The sequence below is a fragment of the Homo sapiens genome, chromosome 4 (assembly GCF_000001405.40).
Source record: "Homo sapiens chromosome 4, GRCh38.p14 Primary Assembly".
Taxonomy (NCBI): domain Eukaryota; kingdom Metazoa; phylum Chordata; class Mammalia; order Primates; family Hominidae; genus Homo; species Homo sapiens.
The window spans coordinates 190,030,731-190,057,266 of NC_000004.12; the positions used below are offsets into that span (position 1 = coordinate 190,030,731).

The 26,536-nt window shown below is 42.2% G+C and overlaps 2 pseudogenes, besides 1 other annotated feature; one reads left to right on the forward strand and one right to left on the reverse strand.

Annotated features, from left to right (window-relative positions):
- On the reverse strand, positions 7,066-7,693 carry RARRES2P4 (retinoic acid receptor responder 2 pseudogene 4; annotated as a pseudogene).
- Positions 10,260-13,556, forward strand: AGGF1P1 (angiogenic factor with G-patch and FHA domains 1 pseudogene 1; annotated as a pseudogene).
- Positions 18,463-18,963: an enhancer, noted in NCBI's record as "H3K4me1 hESC enhancer chr4:190970348-190970848 (GRCh37/hg19 assembly coordinates)". NCBI's record gives its function as "activates a minimal SCP1, AML or CMV promoter by ChIP-STARR-seq in naive H9 embryonic stem cells {active_cell/tissue: H9 hESC(naive)}" and the evidence as "EXISTENCE:reporter gene assay evidence [ECO:0000049][PMID:30033119]".

Below are 26,536 nucleotides of genomic sequence, written 5' to 3' on the forward strand. Positions count from 1 at the left end.
AAGCTGGTTCTATTTCTAGGTTACACACGTGTGTTCACTTTGTAATAATTCATTGAACTTTACATGATTTCTTTGTATACGTCTTTCTGCATGAATGTTATACATATATAAAAATTTAAATATTACCTATTTGCACAAAATTTTAACTTCATATCTCAGAATAATAGCACTGTTTTGTACTGTTTTAAAGTGGGACATGTTTTCTCGGGGCATCATCAGATGGATATTAATATTCCAAGGTATTTACTTATGTTGTAACACTTCGGTGACCTTCTAGGTCTTCCCATGTTTACATCAATTTAGTAAGTAAGATAGTTTTAATTTTTTAGGGTATAGGCCAAGCACGGTGGCTCATGCCTACAGTCTCAGCTCTTGGGAGGCCAAGGCAGGAGGATCATTTGAGTCCAGTATTTTGAGTTTTTTTAGGATGCAATTATTATTCAGCAAAGTCCTCTCCCCACGGTGAGGTTCAGCAATGCAAGGGCACCTAGTGCATACTATGCATTTGGTATGAGTAGAACTGGATTGAATCAGGAATAAAATACGTAGCAGAGGTCAGTTCGGCAAGGAAAAGTAGGTAATGCAGGTAAGATCAGAAGAGCACAACCCAGCAGCAAATCTTTCCATTTATTTCAGGAACCCGTTTGCCACTAGTTCACCGGAAGAGGCTGATTTAAACCATTCATTTCAGGAAACCATTTGCCACTAGTTCACCAGAAAAGGCTGATTTAAACCATTCATTTCAGGAAACCATTTGCCACTAGTTCACCCGAAGAGGCTGATTTAAAGCAGCAGTTTGGGGGCTTGGTTGTACCCCATAGTCACCCAGAGAGCTTTAAACAGCACTATGGCTCAGGTCCCACTGCAGGGATTCTGAGTTCACTTATCTATTGCCTTTTGAGTTTAGGTAATTTTAAAAGCCTCCCTGGTGATTCCTGTGTGCACCCAGGGGGAACAACCCCTGGTTCGGGATGAGAAATGCATTTGCTGTGCATGCATTCCATGTGTGCAGCGGTGATTTGCCCCATGGCCACTCCTGAGTTTGGGGTCTTAGAAAATACACTTGTCCTGTTAAAAATCAAAAAACTACTTCAAGACACACTCAGCTGTTTGACTAAAATGCAGCAGGAGAAAATATCTTCTCAAAAGATGTATCTGGATGGCACTTGCTTTCAGAGTAAAAGGTGGTTTCAAGCACAATATAGCACTTTTTTCCTACAGGCTTTCAAGGCCTTTTACTATCATATCCTTATGAATCACAGGAATAAAAAAATCATAGTTATATAACTGTCAAATATTGTATTAGGAAAAAAATTAAGGGCATGTCTTCCATGCTCATGTATCCTGATTAAAATCAGTTAAGACCCATCTGCCCGGTGTGGTGGCTCACACCTGTAATTCCAGCACTTTGAAAGGCAGAGGCTGGAGGATCACTTGAGCTCAGGAGTTCAAGACCAGCATGCTCAACATAGAAAAACCTCATCTCTGCCAAATATACAAATATTATCTGGTTGTGGTAGTGTGCACGTGTGGTCCCAGCTACTTGGGAGGCTGAGGTGGGAGAATCGCTGGAGCACAGAATGTCAAAGCTGCAGTGAACCACTGCACCCCAGCCAGAATGACAGGGAAAGAGACCCTGTCTCAGAAATAAAAATAAATAAAGAGACCCATTCTTTCAGACACCCTCATTCTTCTACATAAAACACGGTGCTTTTGACTGAAATGTTTTAAGATGAACTGAAGATTCTCCCATAATCAGGAGCAGTAGATGGAGGTTGCTCCCTTCCTGTTCTTTGAGTTGAAGCAAGGCAGAGGTCTGGAGACTCAAACTGGTAAGTACTCAAACTGGTAAATATATCAATTGCTTTCTTTTCATATGAGGTATTAAGCTATTCTTGCATTGCTATTTAAAAAACCTGAGACTGGGTAATTTATAAGAAAAGAGTTTGATTGGCTCATGGTTCTGCAGGCTGTACAGGAAGCATAGCACCAGCGTCTGCTTCTGGGAAGGCCTGGGGAAGCTTACAATCATGGTGAAAGAGAAGCAGGCATCTCACATGGTAGAAGCAGAAACAAGAAAGATGGGGGAGGGATGGGCCACACTTCTAAACAACCAGATCTCACGAGTACTCACTATCACAAGGATGGCACAGATCCATGAGGGACTCACCCAGTGATTCAACCACCTCCTCCCCAGGTCCCACCTGCCACATTGGGGATTAAAATTCAATATGAGATTTGGAGGGGACATCTAAACTATATCACATGACCATCAGAAAAACAGATGAAGAATTCATGGTTTCTACTGTCCAGTAACTTTTCATCTAGAGCAAACAGATTAATGGCTGAATTCAGCATCCTGTGGTCGGAAGGGAAACGGATTAATGGCTGAATTCAGCATCCTGTGGTCGGAAGGGAAATGGATTAATGGCTGAATTCAGCATCCTGTGGTCGGAAGGGAAATGGATTAATGGCTGAATTCAGCATCCTGTAGTCGGAAGGGAGAAGGGAGCTGCACAGGGGGCCTTGGCTGCATTTGCTCCATTTCCCTTATGCTGTTCCTTGAGTTCCGATGTCACTACCTGAAGGACTATTCATGGACAGAAGAATTATTGTTGTTGTTGTGATTATTTCTATTTCTTTTATCTTGGTAAAAATAAGTTTTTAGCTTCTCATATAATTGTCCTAAAAAACCCTAAGAGTTTTGCTTAAGTTTCTTGTTATCATGTGTTATAAAAATTGACAGGGAAGTGGCTAAAACAGATTAAAATTACACAAGCTCTAAGAGTCAAGTCTCTGTTGGGAAGGCTTAGGAAAGACAGAACTGGAAATACTCCACCAGCATGAACATCAGAAACATGGGGTCCACTTTCTGTTCCAGCCCTGCCCAGATCCACCCTCTTCTAAGGCCTCATCCAGGTCTGGCCTCACCCTAGAATCTTCTCTCACAGAACTCATTAAAGGAGACCAGAGATTCGGGCGGGGGCTCCTGCTGCCTCTCCTGAGCTGGTGCCCACAATTTCCTAAAATGGAAAAGCAGATAAGTGGAAGCAAATAATTCTATATTGGGGGGTTATACTTTCTTTTTCATTGAAGCCAGCGCTTCTAGAGACACCTCACCTAGCAACTTGTTTTCCATTCCTGCAAATTCAGTAGCTGCTCCACAAGGCACAAGAAGGTAAATATAAATATAAAACATCTCTCTGAACAGTTCATCCTTTTTTCTCTATCCCTTCATCTGTCGATATAGCTTTTATTCTGCACATTTTATTTTCCAGGTAAATAATTTTTAAAATGGAAGAAAAAATAGAAATGCTAGGCCCTTCATTTAAGTCCTGAAAATTACAGAAAACTTAGCACCCAACTCCCCAGGGTGCTATGAGGATTAACTCACATCATGTAATGTTTCCTGAACAGTGCTCTGTAACAGACTTCTGAACACATAGTATGTGCTCAATAAACATTGTATTAACTCATGTGTACATGTTTTCCAAATGCAGACTTACTCAAACATTGATGCCTTCTCTAGGCTTTCTAAACTGCAAAGAGCCAGCAGAAAATGACATGTTTGAAAATGGCGATTGGTGGCTTCCACTTTGAGCCAAAAGTATTTGTGTTGTGGTAACAGTGTTGGGTGTCAGGAGCTCTGTGCTGTGCCTACTTTCTCTAGCTGAGTGCTACTATATTGGATGTAGTGGAAGAAACATCAGCATTAAGAGGAGACTTTTTAAAGAAGCCAATTCATGGACCGCTTCCAAACCTGCAGAATCACATTACTAAGAGAGAGCCTGGAATCGGAAATAATTCATATGCACATTGAAACTTGAGAGGCAGCCGGGTGTGGTGACTTATGCCTGTAATCCCAACACTTTGGGAGGCGGAAGTGGGCAGATAACCTGAGGTCAGGAGTTCAAGACCAGCCTGGGCAACATGGCCAAACCATGTCTCTACTAAAACATACAAAAATTAGCCAGGTGTGGTGGCTGGTGCCTGTAATCCTAGCTACTCGGGTGGCTGAGACTGCAGAATCCCTTGAACCTGGGAGGTGGAGGTTGCAGTGGGCCAAGATGGTGCCACTGCACTCCTGCCTGTACAATGAGTGAAAACTCTGTCGAAAGAAAAGAAAGAAAGACAGACAGACAGAAAGAAAGAAAGGAAGAAAGAAAGAAAGACAGACAGACTTGAGAGGCAAGGCTTAGCTAAGTGGCTCTCGGCCCATGCTTCCAGCCATAATCACATGGCCAGCTTAAAGAAATACCATCACTTGTGCCCTCCCCAGAGACTCTGTCTATTGATCTTGGTGGGAGCATCTATGTGGTTGTAATTAGAAAGTCAAATTGTCCCTCTTTGATGATAATATAATATCATATATACAAAAATTCTAAAGACCACCAAAAAACTCAGATTTGATAAATAAATTTAATAATGTTTCAGGATGCAAAAATCAACGTACAAAAGTTGATAGCATTTTTATACACTAATGATGATCAAGCTGAGAACTGAATTAAAAAGTCACTTCCTTTTACAATAGCTACAAAAAAAGGTAAAATGCTTAGAAATACAATTGGTCAAAGAGATGAACGATCCCTTCAAGGAAAACTACAAAACACTGATGAAAGAAATTGTACATGACACAAATGAGAAAAACATCCCATGCTTATGGATTGGAAGAATTATGATCAATAAAATGACTCTACTGCCCAAAACAATCTACATATTAAATGCAATTCCTACCAAAATGCCAATGGTATTTTTTATAAAATTAGAAAAAAAACCCACTAAAATTCTTATGGAACCACAAAAAGAGCCTGAATAGTCAAAGCAAATCTAAGCAAAGAGAATAAAGCTGGAGATATTACATTATCTGACTTAAAATTATGCTAGAAGGCTGTAGTAACCAAAACAGCATGGTACTGATATAAATCGACACATAGATCAATGGTACAGAATAGAGAACCTAGAAATAAAGCCACATACCTACAAATGACTGATCTTTTACAAAGTCAACAAAAACACACACTGGAGAAATGACATCCTATTCAACAAATTGTGCTGGAAAAATTATATTTCCGTATGCAGAAGAATGGAATGGGACCCCTATGTCCCACCATATACAAAAATCAACTCAATATGGATTAAAAGACTAAAATGTAAGACCTGAAACTATAAAAATGCTAGAAGAAACTCTAGGATAAACTCTTCTAGACATTGACTTGGACAAAGAATTTATGACTAAGATCTCAAAAGCAGATGTAACAATAACAAAAATAGACAACAGCAACTCAATTAAACTAAAAAGCTCCTGAAAATGAGCTTCCTAATTAACACAGTGAACAGAAAACCTATGGAATGAGATAAATGTTTACGAGTTTTGCATGTGACAAAGATCTAATGTCCAGAATATGCAAGGAACTCAAACAACTCAACAAAAATAAAACAAGTAACCTCATTAAAAAGCAAGCAAAGAACATGAACATTAAAAAAAAGAAAGACACTGATGGTCAATGGTCAACAAGCACGTAAAAGATGCTCAACCTTGTCAATGATCAGAGAAATGCCAATTAAAAACCACAATGAGATACCAACTTACACCCTGCAGAATGGCTATTACTAAAAAGCAGAAAAATGAGCTATCGGCAAGGATACAGGGAAAAGAGAACACTTATACATTGTTTGTGGGAAAGTAACTTTCTACAACCTCTGGAAAACAGTATGGAGATTTCAAAATAGACTAAAAATAGAACTTCCATTTGATTCAGCACTCCCACTACTTGGTATCTACCCAAAGGAAAACAATTTGTTACATAAAGAAAATACCCATGCTGACATGTTTATCACAGCACTATTCATAATAGCCGATATATGAAATCAATTTAAATTTATCAATCAATAATCGAATAAAGAAAATGTGCTATACAAGTATACCATGGAATGCTACTCAGCCATGAAGAATAAAATCATGTCTTTTGCAACAACATGAATAAAACCGGAGGCCATTACTGTAAGTGAAAAAACTCAGAAACAGAAAATCAAATTCAGTATTTTCTCAGTTGTAAGTGGGAACTCAATTAAGCATACACTTGGATATAGAGACTGGAAAAATAGACACTGGAGACTCAGAAAGATGGGAGGTTGGAGAGGGTTTAGGAATGAGAAAATAACTAATTGGGACAATAAACAACATTCAGATGATTGTCACACCAAAAGCCCATACTTCATCACTATGCAACATGCTTCTGTAAGGGAGCGGCATTTGTACTCTCTCACGTATTAATAAAGAGATAAAAAAAAAGGCCTGGTGAGGTGGCTCAAGCCTATAATCCCAGCACTTTGGGAGGCTGAGGAGGGCGGATCACGTGGTCAGGAGTTCAAGACCAGCCTGGCCAATATAGTGAAACCCCATCTCTACTAAAAATACAAAAATTAGCCAGGCGTGGTGGCACATGCCTGTAGTCCTAGCTACTTGGGAGGCTGAGGCAGGAGAATCACTTGAACCCGGGAAGCGGAGGTTGTGGTGAGCCGAGATTGTGTCACTGCACTCCAGCCTGGGGAACAGAGGGAGACTCCGTCTCAAAAAAAAAAAAAAGAGAGAAAAAAAAAAACTTTGGCTTTTATCAAGAGGACAAACTGAATAGACCTCATAATTTTCATAAATAATTAGATTAGGCAAAAAATTTTAATAAAAATAAATAGAAAATAATATTGTATTTTAAGAATGGTATAGAAAGATAATTTGATGAATTAGAGTAGTTAGTACTTAGCACATACAATATGTTAGGCAAGATTCTAAGCCACTTAGACCTTTATGGACAGAATACATAACAGAGTAAAATAAATAACACAAAGATTCTTTGGCAATGAAAAATTGACATATTTTCAATCATATTAGATGATATTAAAACCATTAACAAATTTACTGTTTTGTTTCATAATAAAAAAGAATGTTAAATAACTTCATTAAAAAGTTGGCTAATTAGGCATATAGATAAATGGGCAGCATTTTGACCAGTACACAGGGGATACACATTTTCAAAGACCAGACAAAATTATTTATTTATTTTTTGGGGGAGAGGACAGTTTTATTATCTGGGGATACAGTGGGGTCCTCTCCCTGGGAGGTGGGTCTTCCACTGGTTTTCCCCGCCAGGGCTCCAGGGGGCGCCATGCGATTCAGCGCTGGGCTCCGCTGGGGGCCGGGCCTTGGAGGAGGCGAACCGTGCAGGGAAGCGGCAGCCGTGGGGTCCTCACCGCCCGCTCCGCCGGGCTGCACCCGGCCCCCTGGTGCTCCTCAGGCTCCCGCCGAGTCTGCGTCTCTGGAGGGCAGCGAACCATCCTGCCCAGAACCTTATCCTCACAGTCCATTTTGACGCAGGTCAGGCATTTCTGCTTCCTCCTCTCGGGCTGGGCTTTGCACTTGGGTTTCTTCCAGGCCTTCCTCCAGCCGCTTCCCTGTCTGCCGGAGCTTAAATTCCAGCCTCACAGATGTTCCAGCTGGGAAGGGCGTGTCCAGGGCGCTGTCCACACTGGTCTCCCGGAAGGCCCGCTGCACGGGCGGGTGCTTGCAGATTCCTCCAGGGCCACCTGCAGGCCCCGGCGCTGGCCCCGTGAGCTCGGCCCCTCCCGCGTCCCCCGCGCCCACCCACGGGGCCAGCGAGATCCGCAGCCGTCTCAGGCTTCCCCTGTCACCCCGGCCCTGCGAAGCGGGTGTGCGCCCCTTAGTTCTCCGAGCCCGCCGGGAGCCACCTCCTCCCCTGCCCCTGGAGGGGGCCACGCCCGCAGAACGCTGGGCAGAGACGAAGGAACCGGGAAACGTCCCTTTCTCCACACTGACCTTCGGGTCTGCTGGGTCCTCTCCACTCCCTCCCACCCTGCCCGCGCTGGTCCCTGGGGCCCGCAGTTTCAGCAAAGTTCCCTGCCGCGCCGGGAAGCCGTCCTGTTGCCCACTCTCACCCTTCCTCCTTTTCCGGCCCATTCTCTCTCCCCACTGGGTCTCCGACACGACCCTCTCTCCTCCCGGCTGTCCCCGAGCCCCTCTCTGCTTCCCCAGCTCAGCCCCCTCTCTGACGGCTTCTCCCTCCCACCCCCAGGCGAATCTCCGGGCTCCCACGGGGTGCCCCCGATCCCCGGGGTCTAGGTCAACCAGACAAAATTATTTTAAATGGGAAGATTTGAATTCCATTGAATTCATGAAAGCAGGAATCCATCTGGTCATATTTTAAATAATTTTGAAATGATAATAGCAATTATCAATTTAAAGTTTAACCAGAATTCAGAATAACCACCATTTTACCAGAAAAAAAAAAACCTGTTATAACTAACCAACTAAGTCAGTAAATTCTCAGGATACAATATTAACATATGAACATCAGTTGCATTTTTTTTACAGTAACAACAAAATATCTGAAACAGGAATAAAGATAGTTCCATTTACAATATTATCAAATAGAATGAAATACTTAGGAATGAGTTAACAAAGAATATGAAAGATCTGCATACTGAAAACTATAAAATGTTGAGGAAAGAAAATGAAGAATACAAAATGGGAAATATGTGTTCATGGATTCTAAAAATTAATATTGTTAAAATATCCATACTACACAAAGTGATCTACAGAGTTAAATTTTTATCAAAATTTTAATGCCATTTTATTAAAATGTAGAACGACAATTTTAAAATTAGTATGGAACCACAAAAGACCTCAAATAGCCAAATACTGAGAAGAACAAAAAGGCTGAAAGCCTCACACTTCCTGATTTCAAACTATATTACAAAGCTGTAGTCATTAATACAGTATAGTACCTACATAAAAACCAATAGAACAGAATAGAGGACCCAGAAATAAACTCACAAATATACATTCGACCAATCCCACAGAATGGAGAAAGGATAAACACATCAAGGAGTGGTGTAGGAAAAACTCGATATGCACAGACAAAAAGTAAACCTTTCTCTCATGTCATCACAAAATGAATTTGAAATGAAATAAAGACTTAAACATAAGAACTGAAATCATGAATCCTCTAAAAAAAAAAATGGGGAAAAGCCTCCTTGACACTGGTCATGGCAATGATGTTTCGGATTTGACACCAGGAGCGCAGTCAACAAAAGCAAAAATAAACAAGTGGAACTATGTCAAAGTAAAAATTTTCTGCACAATAAAGGAAACAATCAGCAAAATATAAAGGCATTATATGGAATGGGAGAAAATATTTGTAAACCATATGTAGGATAATATGTTACTATCCAAAATATATGTCATAGTAATCAATACAAAAAACCCACAGCAGAATTAAAAGCAATTTCTTGATTAATAATTGGGCAAAATATATAAATAGCAATTTTTCCAAAGATATACAAATGGCCAGCAGGTATATAAAAAATGCTCAACATCACTAATTATCACAGTAATTAAAATCACAATGAGGTATCACCTTATCGTGGTGTTTGGATACCTATTATCAAAAAGTCAAAAGATAAAAAGTGTTAGGGTGTGGAAAAAGAGAACACTTGTGCACTGTTGCTGAGGATGTCAATTGGTGCAGCTATTATGAAAAACAGTATGGAGGTTCCTTAAAATTGTTAAACTAGAACTACCATTAATCCCAATTAGGAGTATATAGCCAAAGGACATAAAATCAGGATCATCAAGGGTATCTGCATTCCTCTGATACAGATAAACTGAGAGACATAATTTCAGCTTTAATAAAAATGAAACTCTTTCATCCACAACAATATTGATAAATCTTGAAGACATTATGCTAAGTGAAATAAGCTGAATACAGAAAGACAACTACTGCATGATCTCGTTTGTATGTAAAATCTAAAAAAGTAAATAAAAATTTAAAAAAGCCATGGAAACAGTAGAACGCTGGTTCCCATGGGCTAGGAAGTGGGGAAAGTGGGAAGATTTCCATGGAAGGGGCGCACCTTCAGTTACAAGGTGAGTAACTGCTGGGGACCTAACGTACAGAATAGTGACTATAGTTAACAATACTGTGTACTTGAAATTTGCTGCAAGAGTAGATCTCAGGTGCTCTCACCACACACAGAGGCGTATTCACTATGTGAGGGGATAGACAGGCTAACTAGCTTAACTGAGGTGATTTAAAGACCACTGACATCTCAAAACACTCTATTGTACACCCTAAAAATACACACTTTTCAATTTGTCAATCATAGCTCAACGAATGGAGAAAAAAAATAAGAGTAACCAGCAGGTCATAGCTCGCCACACGGAAGCTCGATTTAAAACACGCTTGGCCGCTGTTCGCAGCTCAACTCGGGAACGGCCGGAGCGCTTCTGGCCCCTGGACTTCGACGCTCCTCCCGCGCCCCCGGGGCTGGGGAAGGCGCAGTCGTTCCCCGGATTCCAGGCACGCAGATCCGGCAGGGCCATCGCCGTCCCCCTGCTCTTGCCGCAGCCCCGTCAGGCTCCGCGTTTCGGGGCCTCCTGGCCGGGGAGGCTGCCTGTGGCTGCCCGCGCGCCCCCGGGGCTGTGGCTCCGCCGGCCCCCGCTCCGGCCCCGCGCAGCCCCTCCGAGAACGCAGCCGTCTGGTCCCGAACTCGCGGCCTCTGCCCGTAGCCGCCGCCAGCGCCTTCGCTGTGGCCGCTCCTCCCCCTCCCCGAGCCCGAGCTGGCCCAGCGGAGAAGGAGGGCGGAGAAGCTGGAACCCGAACGCGGAGCTGCAGGCGGCAGGTGCGGGAACGGGAGAAGCTATGGCCTCGCCCAGGACGGCTGCTCAGAGCGACACGAGCAACCGCCAGGAGCTCCGCACGCAGCTGGAAGAACTCAGTAACGTACTCCGCTGTGGGAGACATGGAGGTAATAAAAGTCTGATGTAGAAGTACTCGCAGAGAACCATGCTCCTTGGTCAATCTCAGATTATTATTATCAGACCTACCCTAATGACGTTAGTCTTCCAAATAAAGTGAGTGACTGAACTGTCAAATCAGCAAGATCAGGATATTGAAAGTCCTGCTTTGAATTCTAACGACCAGTTATAAGTAGAAAATGACACTCACCCTGGTACTGATAGGACAGCAAATGTTAAGTGTAGACAAGAGGGTCATCTGCCTCCAATTCACAGGAGCCAGCATCTGCATTAGCAGCACAAGATACGTCCTTAGAAGGTTCGTCATTAGCTGGAAGTTTGAGAGCTGCAGCGGAAGCGGCTTTGTCACAGACTGGATTTAGTGATGATGAAAATACTGGACTGTATTTTGACCACAGCACTGGTTTCTATTAAGATTCTGAGAATCAAATATATTATGATTTAATTTATTACCACTGTGATGTGGAAAGTTGTCGCTATCGATTTCATTCTCGAGTAGATTTGCAACCTTATCAGACTTATAGCACGAAACAAAAACGAAAAATTGAGAAAAGAAAGGATTCTTCTACAAAAAAACGATGAGGAAAAGGATTTGAATTCAGAGGATCAAGAAGCCTTCAGTGTTGAACATACAAGCTGCAACGGGAAAGACAATTTCACAAATGTGAAAAAAAAAAAGCCAAAATAGGCATTCATCACAAAAATAATCCCCAAAATTCACTGTTCCATTTAGTGGAAATCCTATGGAATCTCCTTTTAATGAAAACATCTCAATTCATCTTTAAGGATGAGAAAATCACAGAGACTGATAGTGAACCAGAAGAAGGTGAAATTACAGACTCTCAGACCGAGGGTAGTTATGATGAAGGCATTACCAGTAAAGGCAATGCAACTGCAAAAGATACTGAGGAGGAAGATGAGGAAAAAGTGTGGCCTCATATATGAGAGTGATTGTCATTAGATCACCTGTGCTACAGACAGGATCATTCTTCATCATTACTGCTGCAAAACCTGCTACAATTGGAAGAGAAAATGATATGGAGCATACTTTCCAAATCCCTGAAGTTGGTGTAAGTTTCATGCAGAAATCTATTTTGACCTTGACTTACAAAGTTATGTCCTTTTGGATCAGACAGTCAAAATGGAACAATTGTTAATGTAAAATGGATTGTTCAGCTGAAAACTAAATGTGAGCCTTATGAACCTGAGCATGGAGATAAAGTGAAAGTTGGAGACACTGTGTTATCTTATTACATTCACACTGGCAGTAATAGCTGTGTTGGATGTGAACCAGGGCAGGTTAGAGCTCACCTTTTCCTTGACAAGAAAGATGAATCATTTGTTGGTCCATCATTAACTAAGAAGGAAACGAGTTGGAAAGAAGAAAAGGATTTTAAAAATATACGAGTAAAATATGGTTTACAGAATACAGACTACAAAGATGATAAGATACTGGAGAATCAAAAATATAAAGATAGAGCTGGAAAACATAGGGAGCAGATTGGAAGTGAAGGAAATTTCCAAAGAGATGATGCTCCTGCATCTGTTCATTCTGAAATTACTGATAGCAACAAAGGTCAGAAGATGTTGAAAAAGATGTGTTGAAAACAGGAGAAGGCCTGGGGAAGGATGGTGGGAGAATAAAAACTCCAGTACAGCTTCAGCCTTGGCAAACACATGCAGGATTGGAGACAGACAAACCATCCTCAATTAAAGAGACTCACCTTCTCCAAAACAAGAACAACAACAACTGGGACAAAGCTCAGGAGAGGTTTGCCGAAAACTTTCCAGAAACTAAACTTCCAAAAGATGACCTAGGAACCATTCCTTGGGTAAAAGGGACTGAGGAGTGAAGGTTAATCACAGAAGAAAACTCAAGCTTTTTTATAAATAGAGTTTGGAAACTCTTATTTTATTGCAGAATGTTTCTCCCCAAAAAAGTCAGTGGCATGAGAAAGCTGTGTCACAGTTTACCCCTTCCTGATTCAGAAATGTGTAATAAAATGTGGTTTGCAGTTTTTAAAAAACACTTTTTAAATTAATTATTAGTGACTGAATTAAGTTATACAGTAAGTGAACTAAAGTTCACAGGGCACAGATAAGTTTACCAAACTTTACTATTTTATCTTGTCATTTACAACATCCATATAAGCAATTAGCCATATAAGCAAAATTCATATAACCACTTAAATGCTCATTTGTCCTTGTCTCCATATATTCATAGTAGTATGCACAGAAAATACAGCAAAAGAAACATCTAAAATCTATAAAAATAAATCTGACAATATACATTCTTTTTTCTGTCCTTCAGGACCTAGATAAAAAATGTGTTGAGACAACATAAATAGTGATGCATACATTTTCTTATATTTGGAATAGCCTAAATCATATTAAAGAACTAATGAACAGGTGACATGTCACAGAAAATTCGTCTTTTATTGTTTTCTTAGGTGAAGAATCTGCATTTGTTGATATATACTGTACATTCAGCATTTGTATTTGGTTTGTTTCATAGCTAATGAAATGTTTATACATGAAAAAATGAGTACAGTATTGAAATAGTCCATGTGCTGGCATTCATACTTTTTATAAATACCATTGCAGGCAATGAAGTTGTGCCAGAAAAATCTGATTTTGAGCACAAAAGGAATACTTAGCCAGGGCCTTGAGCTCAATATATTTATTGAAAATGTCCTAAATTGCCATAAAACATTATAACATTAAATTACTCATTTCAATAAATTATGAATTAAGCAGAAAGTACGAATGATGTCTTTTATGGATCAGGGAAGTGCTAATGAGACAGAATGGCCATTGAAGCCAAAAGGTCTGAATTCAGGTAGATAATTTTACTCATATTAGTTTTAGGTTAGAGAAAACAATACTTCTGACCATATACTATTTATTGCAGTGGAGTATTTCAAAAATATGTACATAATATATAATTAATTTTCTAATGGTATAAAAGTAATCACACTCTACAAATTATTACAATATGGTCTATTGATGAGAGGGGTGTTTCAAATGAAAAAAACTTGGAATTTCTCATGGTGATAGATGCCATAGAAAATCTATGTAAAATATTTCACTCATATATGCAATTATTGATATTTCTGCTTTTCAGAAAAATAATATACTTTAAACACTTAATGCAGACAATTAAAATCACCAAGAAGTTACAAGAATTCACAGAATGCCTAATATAGTTGAAAGGAAATTAAGAAAACCTCCCAGGACTGGAAGTAAATAAAGGTAATGATCCAGAGAAGTAATCAACCTAAGAGACCAGGGCTCCACTCAGATGTGCCTGATTACAAGAATGTCAGGTCCGTGTGGGTTGTTCCCTTCTGACAAGGCAAATGGAATAAACAAAGAGAAACTGCCTGCAGGCATTGGAATGCGGTGTCTCCCATATGTGAGGATTAAATTATAAATTATGTCACACACAAGGAGATGAGCTACTGGGGTGAAGCATCAGAAGAAATTATATGGCACATAAATCTCAGATATTGAATTTATATTTAAATGTTTAAGTCAATATAATGGAAAAACAAGAAACCAAAATAATGTGGAAAGAAACTACGAGCTTGTCAAGCTATCTTTGGAAAAGAGGCAAATGAAAAGTAAAGTATTGAAAGGGTTGTAAAACAATTTAATGTACAACATACAAATTACATATTAAAATAGGCTGAGCCAAAAAGAGGGCTAGTAAAGTGAAATGCTGATCACAATTAATGTAGTCATATATGTTATAGAAGGCAAATTAATAGAAAATATAAATATATTTATATATGAAGATTAGATTGAGAAGAAATAAAAAGCATTTAATTGTTTTACCAGACTCTAAATAGGAAGGCAACAAAGAATCAGTGACTTGTAAGTTTCAGAAATTGGAAACCAGACATGAAACCTTTAAAAGTTTAGGGTGTAATATATGAAAAAAAGGTAAATTTAGAAATACTTAGAAGAAATAGTGGTTTGGGTTATTTTGAATACTGCTTAATAAACATGAGAGTGCAGTTATCTTTTTTGACATGCTTATTTTGTTTCCTTTTGATATAAACCCAGCAATGAGATTGCTGCATCATATGGTAGTTCTATTTATAATTTCCCCACATTTCTGTATCCCGAGATCATGGTCATTTTCTTGACTATTCTGATCTATTCTGCCTCAGTTTCCCCCTAAGAGATCTTAGGGTCATAATCATATTGGAGGTTGAGGGGCTAGGTCACTTTTTCTGGAGCTGTTTCCTGCTGAGTGGGTGTTATTTCTACCTAGTCTGGGCCCTAAAGTTTCTTCCTGTGTGATCTAACTGGGTGTAAACCATGTAATTCGTGGAACCAGTGGGCAAGATGTTGGCAGCCAAATGTTGAAAGCCTTGCAAAACCATCATGCAAACATGGAGTTGCCGTAAGCAAGAGAGCAAGAAATCAGTTAACATTTTAAACAAAATTGGAACAAAAGTAAAAGCTGAAAGTATAGTAATGGCTGTTACTATTAAAGAGAGTAAGGCAGGTAATAGACGTTGCTTTCATGGTCCCATGGAAGTTCATAGAGATTCAATTTTGTCTGCCTGGGTGATGATATTTTTAATATTTTCTTGGACTAAGCCGGGCTGATTGATCTCAAAAACAGCATTCCTCTTTTAGATATAAACATGTTCCTCCTTGCCCGGCTGGGAGAAGATCCCAGGCTTTTTGCTTTTGTCGGACTACAGTGGCCATGGAGTCCAGACATTGTTGAAGTCTATTGAGGCCCTCTGCTGCTTGTTGCAGACCCATTGAGGTTTTCTGAGATAGTTTATACTGGATTCCCAAGGCTCCACCTTATGGTGACATTTATGCTGCAAAAGTATTTTGCATTAAAATGGTGAAAGCAACAAACGTTTTAAGTATTTTCTATTTTTTGCTAATAAGCAAAATTTTGTGCAGCTAAGTTGGCAGCAGTCATTCGGTCCATTTATGGACGGTACAGTTGAATGGTGGTCAAAGTTAGAGCCTGGAAGCCTTCAGTAAATGCGCTGAAGTTGTCTGAGGGCCATCAGAGTTGTTGCTTATATTGGATTAGATTATTTATTGAGAGTAGAACAAGCACTCTGATGGTCCTCTCTCCATTTGGGACTTTCTGTAAGGGGAGAAATTTCTCTGGCCCTGGATGGTGTGAAGTCCCACTGTGAGTAACTGCAGCTGGGCTGGTCTCTATTGTACCTGGCAAAGGCCGATAGAAAGGAGCATAAGGAGGAGGTGAAACAAGCTTAGATTCTACAGAAGACTCTGATAGTGTGGGGATGCTGGGGATTCTAAAGGAGGTGTGGACCCCTGAGTGCCCCTGTCTGGAGCTGGTGTTGGGCTGTGGGGTCTGGGGTCCCTTCCCCTTAATAAGAGATGATCTTCCAATTGTTCTGAGGGGCTTTCTGGCTTACTAGGCTTTAGCCCACAGGTGCTGCGTAGAGCTGGATTTTGTTGTCAGGCCAGAACGGCTTGCACATAGGGTACTTCAGACCATTTTCCCTGATTGCTACAGAAAAGATCTAGCTGTAGGATGGAGTTAAAGCTCACAGTCTCATTCTCCAGCCATGTTTTGTCAGCTAATCTGTAGGCAGGCTAAATAGTATTACAAAAGAAGATAAGGTTTTCTTTTTTCTAAGTTCATTTAGCCAAAAGCTGTTCTAATTTTTAGATATACATCCCAGGGGTGTTTCAGTGACAGTAGAGGAAGCAGCTCCCATGGTGCCGAGAGAATCCTGCAATGACAGAACATTTACTGAAGTCCAGGAGGCTGTGGGCGTCCTCATGAGCCAAGTGAAAACACCAAGGGGTCCAGCGCATCCCCTCGAAACCCCATTAACTGAAGCTCTAGGAGGTCATAGGCATTTGCCATACACCGTCCTAGCTCCCCCAGCGGTGGACATCTCCAGCCCTACGGAGATGACCCCCACTGCGGGCTGGGGGGCAGATGTCTGGCTGACAAGCCTTGCTCTAATTCACTGGTTTGCCATTTGTGATGCCCAGTTACAACACCTGGAATGCTCAGATGCAATCCCTACGACTTGGCATCTGCTTGACTGTGCATCTTTTGTTCAGCAAAGAAAGCCGGTTGAAGAACAATTTCAAGGAGCTGGGAAATGCATAAAGCCTGAAGGGACAGGGTTCTCTTAATGTGCTGCTCAAAACAAAACAAAAATTTTGTAAACAGAAAACCTGACCAGAAAATAAATTACAATAGCCACTAGGTGGCGATCGAGTATTGCTGAACGGACAGCAAACGACAAGCTGAGTCTAAACTGTGGCCAGAAAGATGTGAAAATGAGCGGCAAATAGCCCAAATATGAAATGTTGAGGGCAACCCATGTGGTTAGCGTATTTATCGATACTACAGAAGCCGCAGAGAAAAGGAGAGCGGACATATATTCTCTCTCTAAAGAATGCGGGTGACTTAAAAACGTTTCCCCCAGAACTTTACTGGAACAGCGCTGGAACCAGCAGCGATAGTTAACCAGGTAGTCTGAAACTGCCATAGTATTCACTGCAAGTAAAGGGAAACTGAAATTAATGAAGCAGACAAACGTCTCCGCAGGTCATGGCACCAGAAATGTTGATGGCTGATGTAATACCTTGGTTCTTATCTTCTTAGTTTAAAATAATTTAAACAAGAGACACACAGCAAAAGAAGTACAGCATAATTTATTGCCCAAAAAAGAATATTTTGAAAATTAAGTGCAGAATAGCCGGTACAGTCTGAGAAAGAGATTCCAGGGCAGCCTGCTCATAAAAGTGAGACAGCATTAATTATTGCTGGAGAAACCCTCTTTATGGGAGTTTTGCATGATTATTTCATAAGAAGGTGGAAAGAAGTGTTACGGTAAGCATGTTCTGACTGGTCTTCTGGTTATACATGTGCAGTAGCTGTACATATTTGTGCATACATTGCATGCCTCACTAGCATCTTAAATCTCCACCCAGGAATGTGTTTTTTACTATTAAAATGAACAAAGGGTCAGCTTGAGGACACATAAAATCAAAATGCACATGCTCTGTAGAATTAAAAGTCCCTACTGAAGATAGCGGGTTTCAAATGACCCCAAGTGCTCCACGTCTTAAAAGTTCCTCCGGTAAAGCTGGAACACTATCTGTTCCTGAGGTATCAGGTCCCATTTGTGGCTCTGAGCCACTGGCAAGCCAGGCCTGACTTGAGATGAGACCAATGATTTCAAGTGTAAAATGCCTAAATACTCAGTAGCTTCAGGTTGCATTTTGGAGCTTGTCCACTTAAGTGGGTTGATGAAAATGGCTCACAAGACTCACGCCTCAGAAATGGGGTTTTTTCCTTTGCTCTTAGCAGATTTTATGCAACCCAATAATTAACCTTTCTGATGCCTAGACTTTCACATTCGTGAAAAAGGCGCCATTGAAAGTGACCTTTCCAAGAAGCCACAGCCCTTGTCACCCCTGCAGAGCTCTGAAGCTGCTCACAAGCAGGCCAGGTGGAAGATTTCTCTCAAAAACGGTTGAGTGCGTGCTCTGGCTAGAGAAAAAAGAGGGCTGCGGCACAATGACAGTGTCTTGGACATCAGGAAAGTTCTCACGCAGTTTAGGAAAGAAGGCAGCACCCTGGGCTGCAGAAGACGTACTCCTCTGGAAAGAACCCTGGGTGCAACTGAAAGAGGAACCTGAGAAGGATAGGGCCAAGCGGGTGAGGACAACCCGCCCGATTTGGGAAAAGGTAAGGTATCTTTGTAGGGTAATACCCTCCTCAATGCTCAGCCCAGACCTGCCCTCCAGGTGCACCTCTGTACTCACTCTCCTTGCAAAGAGTCGGCATAGCATCAGAACTCAGCAGTGCTTTGGACACCGGGAAGTCCACACCGCTCTGCCCCTCCCTCCAGGGCTATGGACCCCGGATCCCGGTACATGCTGGGATTATAGCTCTGAAGCTTACCGACAAACAGGCTGAGAGTAGGTAACGGACTACAGCTCCCAGCATATTAGGTGGGGCGGGTACCACTCTGCCCCTTCTTCCAGGGCTGCGCCTCGCCCTGGAGCCTGGTGCATGCTGGGATTGTAGTCCTGTAGCCCTTTGACCAAAGGGTTGGGAGTGTTTATGAGAATGCATCTTCCAACAATCCTAGGGAGGCGCGCACAGCCCTGCCTCTTCCTCCGGTGACGCGCACTTTCCCGGAGCCCGGTGCATGCTAGGATTGTAGTGCTGCAGCCCTGTGACCAAAGGGCTGGGAGTGTTTATGAGACTGCATCTCCCAGCAAGACCAGCGAGAGGCGCGGAGCCTCGTCCCTTCCTCCAGTGATTAGCGCACTCTCCCTGAGCCTGGTGCATGCTGGGATTGCAGTGCTCGCAGCCCTGTGACCAAAGGGCTGGGAGTGTTTATGAGACTGCATCTCCCAGCAAGACCAGCGAGAGGCGCGGAGCCTCGTCCCTTCCTCCAGTGATTAGCGCACTCTCCCTGAGCCTGGTGCATGCTGGGATTGCAGTGCTGCAGCCCTGTGACCAAAGAGCTTTGTTATAGTTATCTGTGAAGTGTTCAACAAACTACTTTACTTCATTATTACTGGAAGCCAGAAGCTCAGTTGTGTTCACTTTTTGGATTTTATAACAGTGAGATTGTGTAATATGTATACTTTTACATCTACTTTCTTCTATGCAACATTATATTTATGATATTAATTCATGATATTGCAGATAGCTATAGTTTATTTTAAAATTATTTTTTACATTGTGGTAAAGTATACATAAAATTAACCATTTTAGCTATTTTAAGTGTGCAGCTCAGAAAAATTAACTACTTTCACATTGTTTTGCAACTGTCATTACCACTCATAGGGACCTTCTTTCAACTTGCAGAAACAAAACTCTATACCCATTAAATAAGCTCCTTGTTACTCCCCCTCTAGCTCCTAAGAACTACTCTTCTATTTGGGTTTCTAGAATTTAACTACTCTAAGTATCTCATAAGTGGAATGATTCAGTATTTGTCCTTTTATGACTGGCTCATGTCACTTTGCACAATGTCCTTAAGGTTCATGCATGACGTACCATGTGTCAGAATTTCCTTATTTTACATAACTGAATAACATTCCACTCTATGTATAAATCACATTTTATCTATTAATCATTGATGGTAATTCAAACAACACTTGAGTAATTCAAACACCTTTTTGGTGATGTGAGTAATGCTGCTATGAACCTAGGTGTATGTATATTATTTTGTGTCTTTGCTTTCATATCTTTTGCTGCATACCCAGATGTGAAATTGCTGGATCGTATGGTGATTTTATGTGTAAATTTTTTAGTTACTGTGTTGTTATTTTATAGCAGCTGCAGCATTTTACATTTCCACCAACAGTGTACAAGGATTCTAATTGCTCCACGTCCTCACCAACACTTCGGATTTTCTGTTTTTTTTTTTCTTTTGGTAGTAGCTATGCTGATGGGTATTAAGTGATATGTCATTTGGGGTTAGATTTGCATTTCACTAATGATGAGTTTTGTTGAGTGTCTTTTCATGTGCTTATTAGCTACTTTACATAATTTTTAGAGAAATGTCTGCTTAAGTTTTTGCCAATATTTTAAACAAGTAGTTTGTTTTATTGTTGCTGAATTGTTCTTTGCATATTCTGGATAGATTCCTATTCGTCTATTTTTCTTTTGTTTCTTGTGTTGTGGGTGTCCTGTTTAAAAAAAAAAAACTGCCAAATCCAGTGTTATGACGTGTTTCCCCTATATTTTATTCTAAGAATTTTGTAGTTTTAGCTCTTACATTTAGGTATTTGATCCAGTTAGTTAATTTTTTCTTACAGTATAAGTGAAGGGCACAGGTTCATTCTTTTACATGTGGGTACCTAATTTCCCCAGCACCAGTTGTTGTGAAGACAGTTCTTGGCTGGGCACGATGGCTCACACCTGTAATCCCAGCACTTTGGGAGGCCGAGGCGGGCGGATCACAAGGTCAGGAGATCAAGACCATCCTGGCTAGCAAGGTGTCCGCTCTGCTCCTGATCCAGCGAGGCATCCATTGCCACTCCCGATCGGGCTGAAGGCTTGCCATTGTTCCTGCACAGCTAAGCGCCTGGGTTCATCCTAATCAAGCTGAACACTAGTCACTGGGTTCCACGGTTCTCTTCCGTGACCCACAGCTTCTAATAGAGCTATAACACTCACCGCATGGCTCAAGATTCCATTCCTTGGAATCCGTGAGGCCAAGAGCCCCAGGTCAGAGAACAGGAGGCTTGCCACCATCTTGGAAGTGGCCTGCCAAAATTATGGAAGTGGCCCGCCACCATCTTGGGCGCTCTGGGAGCAAAGACCACCCCATGGTAACAGCACCTTAACTGTGTGTCCCCAAGGACCTACAGATTCACAGGGCAACAGGGGCTGTGAGGGAGTTGTCTGGATTTCCCAAGGTGGAGGAGGCGAAAGAGGAGATGGATCCCAAGCTCCTGCACCAGCACCAGCGAGAGACAAAGGCCCCGCCAAACGCCGGAAGCCACGCCCTCCTCTCTTCTCAAACTGTGCGCCCGATTGGGTGGTTCCCACACCAGCGCCACTGATTGAATAAAACGCCAGGACCCACCCATCCGCACCCCACCCCGGCCCCTGCCCCACTCACCCTGAGCGTTAGTGCATTTTTGTTTGTTTCTTTGTTTTACTTTAAGTTTTGGGATACATGTGCAGAACGTGCAGGTTTGTTACAGAGGTTTACATGTGCCATGGTGGTTTTCTGCACCGTCAACCTTGCCATTTAGGTTTTAAGCCCCACGTGCATTAGATATTTGTCCTAATGCTCTCCCTCCCCTTGACCCCAACCCCCTAACAGGCCCCAGCGTGTGATGTTTCCTTCCGGTGTACATCTGTTCTCATTGTTCAACTCCCACATATGAGTGAGAACATATGGTGTTTGGTTTCCTGTTCCCTGTGTTAGTTTGCTGAGGATAATGGTTTCCAGCTTCACTCACGTCCCTGCAAAGGACATGAACTTATTCTTTTTTATGGCTGCATAGTATTCCATGGTGTATATGTGCCACATTTTCTTTTTCCAGTCTATCATTGATGGGCATTTGGGTTGGTTCCAAGTCTTTGCTATTGTAAACAGTGCTGCAATAAACGTAAATGTGCATGTGTCTTTATAGTAGAATGATTTATATTCCTTTGGATATATACCCAGTAATGGGATTGCTGGGTCAAATGGTATTTCTGCTTGTAGATCCTTGAGGAATCACCACACTGTCTTCCACAATGGTTGAACTAATTTACCCTCCCTCCAGCAGTGTAAAAACGTTTCTGTTTCTCCACAGCCTCACCAGCATCTGTTGTTTCCTGACTTTTTAATAATTGCCATTCCAACTGGTGTGAGATGGTATCTCATTGTGGTTTTGATTTGCCTTTCTCTAATAACCAGTGATGATGAGATTTTTTAAAATATTTTTTGGCCACATAAATGTCTTCTTCTTCTCCTTCTTCTCCTTCTTCTTCTTCTTCTTTGAGACGAAGTCTTGCTCTGTCACCCAGGCTGGAATGCAGTGGCAGGATCTTGGCTCACTGCAACATCTGTTTCCCGGGTTCAAGTGATTCTCCTGCTTCAGCCTCCCGAGAAGCTGGGATTACAGGCACCTGCCAATATGTCTGGCTAATTTTTTGTGTTTTCAGTAGAGACAAGATTTCAGCATGTTGGCCAGGCTGGTCTCAAACTCCTGACCTCATGATCCACCTGCCTCCACGTTCCAAAGTGCTGGGATTACAGGTGTGAGCCACCACACTCAGTCAAATATCTTCTTTTGAGAAGAGTCTGTTCATATCCTCTGCCCACTTTTTGATGGTTTTTTTTTTCTTGTGAATTCATTTGAGTTCCTTGTAGATTCCAGATGTTAGACCTTTGTCAGATGGATAGATTGCAAAAATTTTCTCATTCTGTAGGTTGCCTTTCACTCTGATGATAGCTTCTTTTGCTGTGCAGAAGCTCTTTAATTAGATCTCATTTGTCAATTTTGGCTTTTGTTGCAATTGCTTTTGGTATTTTAGTCATGAAGTCTTTGCTCATACCTATGTCCTGAATGGTATTGCCTAGGTTTTCTTCTAGGGTTTTTATGGTTTGGGGTTTTACATTTAAGACTTTAATCCATCTTGAGATAATGTTTAAGGTGTAAGGAAGGGGTGCAGTTTCTGTTTTCTGCATATGGCTAGCCAGTTTTTTCAGCACCATTTGTTAAATAGAAAATCTTTCCCCATTGCTTGTTTTTGTCAGGCTTGTCGAAGATCAGATGGTTGTAGATGTGTGGTGTTATTTCTGAGGTCTTTGTTCTGTTCCATTGGTCTATATATCTGTTTGGTACCAGTACCGTGGTGTTTTGGTTACTGTAGCCTTGAAGTATAGTTTGAAGTCTGGTAGCATGATGCCTCCAGCTACCAGTTGTTTTTGCTTAGGATTGTCTTGGGTGGACAGGCAAACAGGCTCGAATAGTTGGGGTCACATGCGCAGAGTATCACAGCTAATTAAGAAGTGAGCTGAGACTTGAAATGCGCATGCTCTTTCCCTTACCAGGATCTGTTGAGTCATGCATCTTAGCAGCTATTTAAGGGTAGGAAGTAGAACATTTGGACATCTTTTCAACAACTTATTAGGCATTTTCATAATGCAGGAAAGACCCTCATCCCATCCCTGAAGCCCCTCTCTCACCACGCTGCACCTCACTGCTGACCACATTGTGGGGTGGCCATTATCAGGCGGGCCAGAATCAGGCCAGAATAAGGCGGGCAGCGGGGGCTGGGAATAAATAAGCAAGAATGATGTTGCCCATATTTGCTCATCTTAGAAAGGCTCCACAACCATTCTGTGTGAAGTGATTATTCCAGGGTAATTGTGCCCTGACTGTGCTGCATGTCAGTCTGACTTGTCTTTCTGAAAATCACTGGATTACTCTCATTAATGGGGGTATTTCTGTTTCTATTTGAAAATGGCCAACTGTCCTCTGCAGGTGTCCTGATTTTGTCTGCTAGTTTAGACCCTGAAGGTAGCAGTGAGAAAATGTTTTGGCCACATCAGAATACCTATTCTCAGCTGGAGTAGATATAGAAATTTCTTAATAATATCTAACCGTTTTCTCAATAACCATTATATTTAACGGTGATAACTGGAGGGCAGAGAGGGACACAGATGACACAATCTTCGAAGTTTAATTTGGTTATAAGGTTTTTTGTTCTTGTTTTGTTTTGCTTTATTTTTGGATACAAGGTCTTGCTCTGGTGCCCAGGCTGGAGGGCAGTGGCACAATCATAACTCATAATTTGGTTGTAACTGTTCTTTAAAAAATATTTTTGGCTGAGTTTGGTAGCTCACACCTGTAATGTAAACAATTTGGGAGGCCAAGGTGGGATGATCGCTGGATCCTATGAGTTCAAGACCAGTTTGGGCAACATAAGTAGGCTCAGTTTCTACAAAAAATTTTTTTTAATTGGCTGGGTGTAGCATTGCATGCCTGTAGTGTAGTCCTCGCTATTTGAGAAGCTGATGTGAAAGGATCACTCGAGCCTAAGAGTTTGAGGCTGCACTGACCCATGATTCAGCCACTGCACTGACAGACAGATGTGTGTGTGTGTGTGTGTGTGTGTGTGTGTGTGTGTGTGTGTGTATAAACAATATGGATGTGAAAAAAATTCAAGCCCGGGAGGAAAGTGGAAGCCCATGGTGGGGATGTGGAGGGAAGGTGAGTGCGGCTCCAGCAACTCAGTGAAACTTGGTTTTCCATCTTGAAGAATTGCCCATACACACTGAAACCATAGCCTAGCACATGCCAGTTATCACACTACACCTGCTGGGATACGACTATGTACCCTTTTTAAAAAAATAAAATCTTTCACCTAAGAGAAGCAGAAGAGAAAAGGAGTGTTTCACATCTAAAGCCTTCATTTTCTTTATGAAACAACAGCCACTTGTCATTTGAGTTGTCCAAAGGCGACTGACAGCACTAATACACTTAATGAATCAACCAGGAGAAATGGGCCTCTCGGGTGAGGAGGAGGCACAATAGTAACTAACCCAATCCATTCTCAGCTTTACATGGTGCCCGTATCTCAAGAAGTGGTGTTAGCCATGTGAACCGTTTTCACTGGACAAGGCCAGAAGAAAGAACATTTAGTACAACACAACCATGAGGCTGCAAATCAAACTGGTAGTGGGAGCATGCACAAGGCTTCAGTGGCTGAGACACTGGTGGCTACCCTTGGGTGTCACTTAAAACTTCAAGGTGAAGGACATTTTTTTTCCAGTTGGCTCAGGGAAACTAATAAACATTAGAATTGAAATTTGTTTTTCTTTTCAAAATTTCTAAGACATAGAGGACTCTCTAAACACTCCAAAAGACATTCAGATATACATGCAGCTGAGGACCTGCCTGCTCTGCAGAGGGATGGCTGAGCAGCAGCCACCAGCTGTAATAACTTTAAACTTCTCCTCTCACAGGGACAGGCCACTCCCACACACACTGCTTACTTCATAGGCTGTGGCCCTCAGATGCACCTGGGGGACTGCTTTCCTCCCATTTCATTAGCTCTCCAAGACAGTCCATCTCACTCTAAAACCTACACTAGGATGGTGAGTTGTAGACTCTCCTCCATTCTCCCAGTGCAGTGTGACTTCCAGAGAGTGCTCCCCCATCCTCTTACCTCAACTGATGTGAAAAGGGCCAGTGCCTGGGCAGTTAGATGTTCAGTGACCTCACAGGTCCAGCATCGCCCAGGGCCTGGCCCCACAGCCTGGCACCTCTCCCCTACCTGGCCTTCATGCCAGCCTTTTCTCTTCTGTCACCAATGTCAAGTGACATTCACCTGTGTCACACTCTTATGAGTGTGGTAAGTGATGGGTGGGTAAACCCCAGCTGAGTGCCTGTGACTCTACCCTCTTACCTTTCACTCAAGTGACATTATAAGCATAATTTTACATTTGATTTAATTTATGGCATAATCTTTTCTTATAACATTTCTGACAATAGCCCTCACAACCAAAGGAGACTGGGTTACAGAACACATGGGCAAGGCTGGAGTAGCAGGTTTCACTTACTTTATTCCAATGTGAAATGAAGATGTGATGGTTTAAAACCAAGACAAAGTTGTTTATCAGCTGTGGGGTTGCTACACTTGCTAGCTCATGCTCACTTCCTTTGAAACAAGGAATCTGGAGAGACTATATTCATAAGTAGCTCTTTGCAAACCCCCAGGCAGAAGCCCCAGTCAGACGCAGCTCCCTCAGGCTCCCAGGGCGGCAACCTCCTCCTCCATGTTGGGCTCTGCCAGCAGGTCAAGGGAAGAGCTCCCTCAGGCTCCCAGGGCTGCAACCTCCTCCTCCATGTTGGGCTCTGCCAGCAGGCCAAGGGAAGAGCTCCCTCAGGCTCCCAGGGCTGCAACCTCCTCCTCCATGTTGGGCTCTGCCAGCAGGCAAGGGAAGAGCTCCCTCAGGCTCCCAGGGCTGCAACCTCCTCCTCCATGTTGGGCTCTGCCAGCAGCCAAGGGAAGCAGCACAGGCAGCGGGGGACAGGAAGCCACCCGGGGCCATAGGGATCCCCAAACGCCCCGGAACTATTCTCTGTAGAAAGGGCGGTGTGGCAAGGACCAGGTATGGAGCTGGGTTCCACAGAGAGGTGACAGCCACTTCTGTATCTCTAAATTTCCCCCGGGATCCATGATCCAGCCCTGCTTTCCCC